We start from the raw sequence: 12,374 nt of genomic DNA, 5'->3' as shown, positions 1-12,374 counted from the left end.
TACTATGCAGCTACAAAAAAGAACAAGATTATGTCCTTGGCAGAGACATGGATGAAGCTGGAGACCGTTATCCCTAGCATACTAACACAGGAACAGCAAACCAAGTACTGCATGTTCTCACTTATAAGTGGGAGCAAAATGATGAGAACACATGGACACACAGAGGGGAACAGTACACACTGGGGCCTATTGGTGGGTGAGAGTGGGAGGAGAGAGAGGATCAGAAAAAATAACTAATGTGTACTAAGCTTAATACCTGGATGATGAAATAATCTGTACAACAAACCCCCATGACACAAGTTTACCAATGTAAAAAACCTGCATGTGTGCCCTGGAACTTAAAATAAAAGTTAAAAAAAGGAAAGTTGATTGTGACTGTACTTGTAAGTATGATTATCTTGTAAAAATAACAACCCACTACTCATCTAAATGTTTTAGAGAGACCAACCCACTGGAGATTATAGAATCTAGTTTCTAGAATAATAGAGTTTGGGCACAGGAAAACAATTTAAAATAAATTATAATAATATATTTTATAATCTAGTCTATATTAGTATCAGGTGGGTGCTTTTTGTTTTTTATCCAAGAGAATAATGTGACTATGAATTGGGTTTTAAAACATCCCCGAAAACTTGTTAGAAGGTGATCTTGGATTAGGCTTTATATGTAAATCATCTGAAGATAACAGTAAAGACTGTCAGTCAAAAATGTTGTTTGCCACACCCCTTCTTCTCACCCCAAGTCTAACATTCACAGACTTTTCTTTTAATTTTAAAAGGGTCGTTAAATTAGACACAACTTTACCCTGAATGAGCAAGTTTGGACAGATAACTTGGAACAGTGGAGTGAACCAGAGCTTCTGTTTACAATTATGCAAGCTCACCACTGCAAGCATACTCATGTACTAGGGAACAGATGGGGATAAAATGCAGTGTATATTGTGATGTCCAGGTCATGTGCCCCTCATGGAGTTTGTTTCACTTAAAAGAGTGCCACCCTAGTGCATTTGCATGAAGGTACCTATTGCCCAAGAGTAGCCCTGGGTTGGAGAATGCTTTGAAGGAAGAGAGACCTTATAAACAAGCATGGGGTGACAATAGTACAATGTTTCACTCTTGCTATTTCTCATTTTTTCCCGTTTCTAGTGTAAGCTGATTGAACATTTACCCTAGATAGTGCCTATTGCATATTATTAGTCAAGTAAACATTAGCTGATGAAAGGAATGAAAAAGGAAGTCTCACTCTGAAACCAATGCAAGAGAAAGGCCATAGTCCATTTCTTAATGTGCACATCTTTATCAATGCTTAAGAAATCCACCTTGATATGTGAGTATAGTATCATATTAGGAACATCTAGTCTAATTCCTTCTTGTAAATTCTCCTAACAGGAAAAATATCCCACACACTGCCGCTTTAATTACAGTGAATGGCAAAGGTCTCACAGTGATAAGGCATCACAATCAGGCTGGTTTTTATTAGACACGAGGGGATGGTTGAAGGCATGATAATCTAGAGAAGAAAGATGTTTGCTAATGTTTACATACTTAGCTCCCACTGGCATTTTACCAGCTTGGAGGTTTGCACTGTCCCTCTTAATCTGTGAAAGTGCATCCAGATTCACAGCAAGACCTCAAGGAGAGCCAGATGATGGGGCAGATGGCAGATGACTAATTTGGCAAGCCTTGATGAGTGGAAATTGTTTGTTTTAATTGCTTGTCAAGTCCAGTGCCTACATTAAAGTTAAGGACCTAGCACTTTCACAGGAAATGAAATACTACAAAGTAAATAAGAAGGACTTTGTATGAGGGAGGGATAAAGAGGGCAGGCAGAGAATAGTGACAAAATGTGGTAAAGGGAATATTACATTTCTGACAATTGTATTTCTGTGATCTTATTATTTCATCCAAGTATGTATAGATGACAGAAATGTAATTTCTAAATCTGTAAAGCCTTTCTGTTTTTCCTATTTTCAACATAGAAATGTTATGAAATAAAAATTAAGAAAAAATATTTGAAGACAGGGAAACAATAAAGACAGAATATATATATATGCAGTTATAAGTTAGTTGTTATTTGATATGATACATTAAAAATCATTTGCAATTTTTTAATTTTACCAAGCTCATCTTTGAAATACAAAGTACAAAAATTTACAAAGATAAATGTTTATATTGGGAAGACTATATCAAGGTAGACTACTCAAAAACCATATTACTCATAGAAGACAATCATGTATAATTTTGAGGTACATCAGTTTTTTTAGTTTTCAGTTATGAGGTTATTTTCCCTCACACTATATAGTAGCTGCACTTAAGAATTTTGAGAGCTCTCAAAGACTATTGTAATCAACAAAAGAGGTAAAGTACAGATCAATTCAATTTTAGATAGATCAGCAGATAGGAGTATATATAATATATTGATTTATCTTTCATCTGTCTGTGGTATTGAATACCTATGTCTTCCATAGGTACAAATCTATTAGTAAAGGTCTACAATGCCAAAAGTTCTTTTCATTAGGCTCAAGGATTGTTTAGAAAGTGTTTAGTAGGCCAGGCGCGGTGGCTCACGCCTATAATCCCAGCACTTTGGGAGGCCGAGGCAGGCGGATCACGAGGTCAGGAGATCGAGACCATCCTAGCTGACACGGTGAAACCCCCATCCCTACTAAAAATACAAAAAAAATTAGCCAGGCATGGTGGCGGGCGCCTGTAGTCCCAGCTCCTGGGGAGGCTGAGGCAGGAGAATGGCATGAACCCGGGAGGCAGAGCTTGCAGTGAGCCGAGATTGCACCTCTGCACTCCAGTCTGGGCGACAGAGCCAGACTCCATCTCAAAAAAAAAAAAAAAAAAAAAAAAAGAAAGTGTTTAGTTAATTTCAGCAGTCTACGTTTTATCACTTTGGGAATCAATAAAACAGTGGTAGAAGATAAAGATTCAGATAATACATAATAGGATTTTTTTTAAAAGGATACCAATTTTTACACTGAAAAATATTTTATGTCTAGTTTTATGTAATGAAAATTATGAAACACATTTCCTATTTTGCTAATAGTTTTTTCTTTAATACATTTAATTATGTAGAATATGAAATTTCTGAAATATAAATTCATTTCAATTTTTAAACTCTTTTGGCCCTAATCACATCTGATAAAGATATTTTAAAACATTGATACAAATTTTTTATATTAAAAGATACCAGTACAAATGAATAAGAGCAATAAAATCCAGAATTATACTAATAGAGTAATGTATGATCATTGTATATGATTCATTCAAGAATGTAAGGATGGTTTAATAATTGCAATTTATCAATAATTTACCCTAATAAGATTAAAAAAAAACTTCTCAAAACTGCAAAAGCATATGATAAATTGCAATATTCAAGTCTGAAATAAAAACCCTAGTTTTAAAGTAGAATTCTAGAATATATAACATGATGAAATGTATGCTGAGTTAAGGGAAGCATTTCCATGAGGGTTAGAAAAAAGATAGGAATGACTATTACCCATCAATTGAAAAAAATTATCCTAGAAATGTTGTGCTCATAACAGTTAAGCTGGATTTATGAAGAACACTCAGCATAAAACCTTACTTTGTAGACAGGGAAACCAAGACTCAAAGTGATGAAGTGATTTGCTCAAGTTCATTCAGCTTTTAAAAATGGAGGAACCAGTGTTTGATTCTGGCTCCATTCTAGTTCTCTTTTATTTTTATTTTCTTAATTTTTAAAAAGGTTTTGTAGGGAAAGGGTCCCACTTTGTTACCTAGGCTGGTATCCTGACCTGAAGCAATCCTCTGGCCTCAGTCTCCAAAAATGTTGGGATTTCAGGCGTGAGCCACCACACCTGGCCTTCCTTTATGTATATTCTTTACCTTTTTTTTTTTTCATTCTAGTTCTCAGTGACTCTGAAGTCCATATATTTATTTAACAAATGTTTACTGAACAGCTATGCCTGTTTACTGATGTTTACTGAACATCTGCTATATGCCTGCTTTCCGAGGTGCTGAGCAAAGGCCTCTCTTATGAGGCTTGCATTCTAATGTGGAGACATATCATAAAAAGGTAAACTTGCAGATGTATAATGTAAATTCACATAGCAAAAAAAAAAACAAAAACAAAACAAAACAAAAAAAAAACACCAAAATGAAAAGAAAGCAGAACACAATGTATGGGAACCTGATGTCTATTTTAGATAAGGTGGTCAGAAAAGGCTGTTTTGAAAAGGTGACATTTGAGCAAATACTTAAATACAAGTTCTTATAGGCTATAAGAACTTTGGATTTTATAGTCAGTGCAATTAGAAGCCAAGGGTTGTTCTCAGTAGGGGAGTGACATGAACAATTTACATTTTTGAAAAAAACATTCTGGCCTCTGTGTGGAGAATGAATAAACATAAATGTGTTTCTCAGGGTTCCCCAGAGAAACAGAACCAAAAAATTTTAAGTTACAGGATATCAAAAAGAGCAAACATGAAGAAAGGACTTTACCTTCTCTCCCAAGGAAGGAGTTAGTGCATTTTGGGTTGTAGATACAATAGTTGTATCATGTTAGGTGGAAGTATGACCTGTTATTTTCTTTATTTGGAGATTAAGTACAGATTAAGAAGTTGTGTATGTGTGCCACGTTAACAAGGGATGGGCTTATGATAGTTAATTTTCTATGTCAATTTGTCTGGGCCATGGAATGCACAGATAGCATATATATACAAGTATATATACACACACACATATATGCTATATATAGCGCGCACACACACATAGAGATTTATTTAAAATGTACTATATAGTCTTGGCTCACACAATTATGGAGGCTGAGAAGTCTCACAATCTGCCATCTGCAAGCTAGAGACCCAAAAAAGCTAGTGGTGTAGTTTAAAGGCCTGAGAGTTAGAGTGGCAATGGTATAGATTCCAGTTTGGATATGAAGACTTAAGAACCTAAAGTGCCAAGGGCTGGAGATCTATGTCACAGTTCAAGCAGTCAGGCAGAGAGAAAATTCCATTTTCCTCTGCCTTTTTATTCTATCCGTGCCTGCACTGCAACAGATTGGATAATACTCACCCACACTGGGGAGAGCCATGTGCTCTACTCAGTATACCAATTCAATGGTAGTCTTTTGTGAAAACGCCCTTATGGATACACTCAGAAATAATGTTTAGCCAGCATTCTGGGCATGCTGTGGCCCAATCAAGTGACATATAAAATTAACCATCACAGGCCCATCCCTTGTCAGCATAGCACCCATATGCATCTCCTTAATCTGTACTTAATCTCCAATTAAAGACAATAAAAGGTAAATGATTTCATCTAACATGGTACAACTATTATGCCTATAACCAAAAATGCACTTTGTCCCCAGAAGAAAAAGTGAAGTCTTTTTTGATGTTTGCTTTTCTCCTTGATATCCTATAACTTAAATACTATTGTGTAAAATTAAGAATACTTAAATATTATGACATAAAGTAATACATCTTATGTTTCATGATAAGGAAATAAGAGAGGAAAAGAAACAGACACACCCACACACAAAATGTATTCATAACATAATAAGGAATAAATACTTATGGCAATTACAGTACCCATTTCTGTCAATGGTCACATGATCATAGCTGGTATTTATAACTACCTTTCTCTACTACCCATTTCATACTCCCTTTGCCTTCAGCAAGCACCTCAGTTGGTTATGGTTCTTTACCTGTTGAGGTGACACAAACATTCATTGCAAAATGCACTGGACCGTACTAGTCCTGCTTTGATTGGGTGGTTGTAGTTTTCCATTGAATTTCATCACTGGGCATGGTAATACTAAGAGACGCCCACAGGAATGTCCTGTATTAGAGACATACTCTTCCTTATTACCTCCATTGTGGAGTAGTAATATTGATAGAATCTGCTACTATCCTTAGTGGTCAGGATCAATTATCCCAGCCAGCTTAGCAATTCCTTTCTTTGCCTGTTGATTCAAAGGAATGAGGAGCCCAAAGTGGCTGCACGGCAGTCACTTCCAATTCAATGGAATAACTGTTGTGTCTCCTGGTAGAGCACAATGTTTGGAAACCCGGTACTTATTTAAATAAGGTGGTCAGAGAAGGCTTTTCTGAAAGAATGACATTTGAGAAAAGATGACTACAGATTCTTACAAGCTAAAGAGTTTGGATTTTGCAGTAAGTTTAATGAGATGCCAAAGGGTGTTTTTAGTGACATGAATGATTTATATTTTTAAAAATATTATTCTGTTCTCTGGGTTGCGAATTAATTAATGGGGCAAATAGGAAATCCTGGACATTAGTTAGGAGGCCGCTGTGTAAGTCCAGGGAAGGGATAGCAGTGTTTTGGATTAAATGACTATAGCAGTGGAAGTGACAAGTTTGGACCCATTTGGGGATGTATTTTGAACATAGAGATAACAAAACTTGCCATCTCTGCATAACTATAATAGCATTCATTAATAGTCACTGGAAATAGTTATTGCTTCTTCTGTGGTCTTCAATATTTTGTATTTTGATGTTTACTGCAATGCTAGATTTTTTAATGCCCAACAATATGCATAAATCCAAGGTGCATTTATTAACATTTCTGAAAAGGAAAGTACTTATTGGTGTTAAATCAGCAAAAGAATTTTTTATCAAGTTCCATATTTTATGTAGCCAGCCTTTGAATTATGCACACACAATATATACATGACTTAAATATACTGCTCACTGCTTTCCTTGCTACGTGCCTTGTAAAACTATACAAGCCCCTATGAAACAACTTGGAAATTTTTCTCAGTAATTATTTTTTCATGACATTTGGAGACGAGTAGATGCCAAATAAATAATTATTCATTTCTTAATTGATAAACTGATATCTCGCAATAGGCATTTGATCTGAGAGTTAGGTAATTCTCTTTTTTTAATTCCCATCATCTTTTCTTTGTAAGCAAATAGAGTGCTGATTTCATAGCCAGAACAAGCTTGGAGGCGATAATTAATTTTTAGTTTTAATATAGATATTGTTAAGGTTTCATTATTTTACTTTTAATATATTTCCCCATGAATCAAATTAATCCACTGTTAACCAACCTTTTTATGTTGCTACCAACTTTTTACTTTTTTACTGAATGAGGATTATATGGTTCACACGCTGTTGGATATAAATCTTAAGAAAAATAAAAAGCCTGTGTTTGGAAGTATAGCTACATTTGTAACAGAATCAATACAAATAGAATAATTGAGGATTTTATTAGGACCTCACATCCAGCTTTACTCCTGGAGTTACATTTGGAATGAAAACTTTAGGGATCACATGTAAATTTTGGATTTTTGATGCTTGAACTATTGTAGGCTTATAGTTTAAGGACTTTATAATAGTATTGACAAAGGTGGCTGAATTTTGTTAAACTTGTTTTGGCTGCTGAAGACAATTTTTCAATTGTGTTTTGATAAACAGCTTTGTGAAATCAATGAAACTTGATGGTTTAAGCGTTGTCTTGTATACATTGCTTGATTGTAAAATCAATTGACAAATGAAAGTTGTGAGTTACTCAGTGGAGGCTCCACAAAAACAACTACAAATGATTTCTATGAGCCTATCCAAACCAGTTCTTCAAAAATCAAGTGTGTCTTTCAAGATAAAATTTATGATGAATATACTGTGGATTCTAGATAGTTTGAATCAAACATAAATGAAAGCCTCAATGAGACAAAAATATCTACTAAATTGAACAGCATGTAGTAAAAAAAACTGCAAAGACTAGAATGTTTGGCAAATAGAGTATTGTGATTAATCTAATTTTGTTTTTTGGAGGATCTTTTTTTGTCAAAAAATATTTCTAAACATACTTATTCAAATTTTCCATTTTAAGAAGGTATATACAAAACTTACCTGATCATTTATTGAGGAATAGCAATTTTTTTTAGTTGAGGGCCATTTTCTGAGTACGAGTTATAAATGTTCTGATATCAAGTAAATGAATTATTGCAATGTAGGGTAGCATATGTTCATTATAAGAAGTTTAAACAAAATCCTAAGTATTTATACCATACAAATATTTAAATGAATATTAATGAGAACTTATGAATATATAACTATCCAGATTTGAATATTATTGTATAATATTATATTATATTGGATATAATATTGTATACCTTTTTATATATGTAGAATGGGAATTATGCAAAAATACCTAGATATTGCAGTTACAGTAATAGATGCATCTCTCAAAGGTTGTTTAAGCTTCTATATAAAAGGTCAGAATACACCAACTATTTTGAGAACATTTTCATTTAGATTATTACCTATTGATTTTTTATATTAATATTAAAGTATGAGTATTATTTCCAATTGAGAGAAACTATACAACATAAATTATATATAGGTTGCAATGTGTTATTGGATATACTTTAGAAATGGTGCAGCAAATTTATTAATGGATGCTTATATTATCCCCATAATTGGTTGTACTAAAATATGTTCATCCTCATTGGAATTTGAGATAATTAAAATCTATATTTCATAAACCCATATAATAATACCTTTTCTCAACAGTCATTTTATTAGTTTATAAAGATTTTATATAAATTTACTGGGAGCAATAAAATAAAGATCATGGATTAAGGTTTTTTCCAAAAGGGCCTTTAATATATAATGAAAAATATCTTGGACTTCGATCTTGATTTATAAGGAATATGCACATGAATCAACTTTTTCTTCTTCTTCTCCTTATGTTGAATATCATTTCTTCCTGGGTGTTTGTTTTAATAATAAGAGAACATTCCACAGAGCCAATAAAATGTCGTTATGGTTAGGAATGATACTGTAATTTCATTATATATTTAGCAAATTCAGTCAAACCAAGCACAATAGTTAAATTTACTCAAAGTCAAAAGCATATAACACAACTAGAATTTAATCCTTTCTGTGTGTAACATTTTAGCAGGTGGGGCCAATATTCATCATTATCTTGATGGTATTGATAATATGACAATGTAAAATATCTATTGCTTGAAAATCCTACTTCCTTTTAGCTCAGTTCTCAGCCATCTCTAAGGTGTGTCACTCATTCTTACGGTCCAAGATGATGGCTCATATTTTAGCCATGACATCTGCATTTCTGGCATCAGGCTGGAAGAACTTATGAAGAATAAACCAGGCAAAGTCAGGCTTCAACCGTGTTTGAAACCAAGTTCTGGGAAGGTGTCATGCAACATGTCAGAACTTAGTCCACTGGCCAAACTTACCTCTAAGGGGAGGAGAGAAATATAATCTTTATTTTGGGTGACCATGTGTCCAGCTAAAAATTGTGCAGTCTATTACAATGAAGGAATTGGAAAATGGATATTAAAGATTTTAGAGGTATTTACCATAGCATCCATCCGTATCACTCTACAAAATCTGCATTCTCAAAGGCAATAAATGAATTCCAGCATGGTGTATAAAGGGCTTGGAGGAAGCAATGGAAGTGTAGCATGGAGGTTATAAGCTGATAGGACCCTGGAGAGAGAGAAAGTGATTTTTAACATTTATTTAATGCGGAATTTAGAGACAAATAGTAACAACATACCACAGAGTGGGTGGCTTAAAACAATAGCGATTTATTCTCTCACTGTCCTGGAGGTTAGAAGTTGAAAATCAAGGTGACAGCAGGCTCATTCTCCCTCTGAAACTCCAGGTAGAATTCTTCCTTGCCACTCTCTAGCTTCTGGTGGTGGCCATCAATCTTTGGCATTCCTTGGCTTGTAGGTACATAGCTCTACCCTTTGCCTTTCTGGTCACGGGGCTTTCTTTCCTGATTGTCTTTGTGTGCACGTGGTATTTTCCTCTTCTTATATCAGGGCCGTCCAATCTTTGGCTTCCCTGGTCCACATCGAAAAAAGAATTGTCTTGGGTTGCACGTAAAATACACTAACAATAGCTGATTCAAAAAACATAATGTGTTTTTTTAAATATTTATTTATTTATGAGATGGAGTCTCGCTCTGTTGCCCAGGCTGGAGTGCAGTGGCGCAATCTCGGCTCACGGCAAGCTCCACCTCCCGGGTTCATGCCATTCTCCTGCCTCAGCCTCCCGAGTAGCTGGGACTACAGGCACCCGCCACCAGGCCCGGCTAATTGTTTGTATTTTTAGTTGAGACGGGGTTTCACTGTGTTGACCAGGATGGTCTCGATCTCCTGACCTCGTGATCCGCCCACCTTGGCCTCCCAAAGTGCTGGGATTACAGGCATGAGCCGCTGCACCCAGCAAAAAATATAATGTTTTAAGAAAGTTTATGAATTTGTGTTGGGCCACATTCAATGTCATCCTGGGCTACATGTGGCCTGATAGCTTCAGGTTGAACAAGTTTGTCTTATTATCATTATATTGAATTAGGGAACACCCAAATGACCTACCTCATCTTAATTTGATTTACATCTAGGAAGACCCTATTTCCAAGTAAGGTCACATTCTAAGTAATGGGAATTAGGACTTCAACTTGTCTTTTAGGACACACAATTTAGCTGGTAACAGAGTACTTCTAGAAAATATACTTTTTGGTGAACTTTAGAAATCCAGACTTTAAAAGTTTGGATTTTGTTTTTATAATGAATTTCCACTATGGTTACAAACATACACTATTTTTCAAGATTTTTGGATTAAGATTTTTGTTATTTTCGATGTGTTCATAGGCAAAAACAGGCTTTAAGGTGGTCCTAATTATTAGGCTATACCCATCTAGATGTGTTTTCCTTCCTCTGCAGGAACTCATCCCTTTGAAAACAACATCAGGCATCATAGCATCTTTTTTACTTCTGTGTATATAAGACATGAATGTATATATTACCTTATTACTAAGCTGTGTTCCTAGTATGTTTGCAGTCTCCACTTTGTATCTTGCCTTAAATTCAGTATATCTTATGTAACTTACCAAACCATTTTCTTTACATACCATTATTAATAGATTTATAATATCTATTTTTAATCTACTTAGGATTAGAGTCAGTACATTAAGTGGTGAAGATTGTGTTCTGGCAGGTATATAAACCATAAGAATAGTATCTAAAAATCTGGCTTCTGGAAGTCACACACAATTTTTTTTTTTTTTTTTTTTTTTTTGAGACAGAGTCTCACTCTGTTGCTCAGGCTAGGAGTGCAGTGGCATGATCTTGGCTCACTGCAACCTCCTCCTCCCAGATTCAAGTTATTCTCCTGCCTCAGGCTCCCGAGTAGCTGGGATTACAGGCATGAGCTACCACGCCCAGCTAATTTTTGTATTTTTGGTAGAGACAGGGTTTCTCCATGTTGGCTAGGTTGGGAACTCCTGACCTCAGGTAATCCAACTGCGTCGGCCTCCCAAAGTGCTGCGATAACAGGTGTGAGCCACCATGCCCAGCCACAAAATTAAAAAACAAAACAAAAACTTGTGTAAACTTGTGTGCTCACATAGGAATAGAACTTGGCAGACAGATTATTTATTATCAGTCCATTATACCTCAGAAACTCATGAATATATACAGTGATACTCTAGTTGATAACAATAAAAGTTGTATTTTTTACATATCTGGTTTGTAGTATATGTTTACAAATATTTCAGTTTAGACCTAAAGACAGAAATACCATTCAACCTAGCAATCCCATTACTGGGTATATACCTAAAGGAATATAAATCATTTTATTACAATGACACATGCACGTTTATGCTCACTGCAGCACTATTCCCAATAGAAAAGACATGGAATCACCCTAAATGCCCATCAATAATAGACTGGATAAAGAAAATCTGGTACATATATACCATGGAATACTATGCAGCCATAAAGAAGAATGAAATCATGTCCTTTGGAGAGACATGGATGGAGCTAGAAGCTATTATCCTTAGCAAACTAAAGCAGGAACAGAAAACCAAATACTGCAGTTCTTATTTATAAGTGGGAGCTAAATGATGAGAACACATGGACACATAGAGGAGAAAAACATACCCTGGGGCCTATTGGAGAATGGAAGTTGGGAGGAGGGAGAGGATCAGGAAAAATAACTAATGGGTTCTAGGCTTAATAGCTGGGTGATGAAATAATCTGTATGAATAACCCCCATGCCACAGGTTTACCTATGTAAACAAGCCTGCGTATGTACCCCTGAACTTAAAATAAAAGTTAAAAAATAAAAATAAAAACGCATGTTTGAGGTCTTGTAGGTGCTAGTTTATTTAGTAAAAAATTTACTCAGCTGGAACAGCTGATATAATAACTATGATTTTAAAATAAAATTGTTGCTTTCACTATCTTTTGATTTTGATTTATTTACATTTGTAGAATTACCCAATTAGAAAACAGAGTAAATCATATGTCCTAAAAAAAAAAATGTTTAAATAAAAGTAAATGTATTTACTTGCTTTATATGGTCATAACAAATGGGATT

At 34.9% G+C, this 12,374-nt stretch overlaps 1 protein-coding gene across 10 annotated transcripts in view; it reads left to right on the top strand.

Moving 5' to 3' along the window:
- The window catches only part of ERBB4 (erb-b2 receptor tyrosine kinase 4), a 1,163,086-nt gene that overhangs the window by 401,270 nt on the left and 749,442 nt on the right, over window positions 1-12,374 (top strand). The gene's annotated exons all lie outside the window — the stretch shown is intronic.

The sequence above is a fragment of the Homo sapiens genome, chromosome 2 (assembly GCF_000001405.40).
Source record: "Homo sapiens chromosome 2, GRCh38.p14 Primary Assembly".
Lineage (NCBI taxonomy): Eukaryota > Metazoa > Chordata > Mammalia > Primates > Hominidae > Homo > Homo sapiens.
This window is presented reverse-complemented; position numbering and strand designations above follow the sequence as displayed.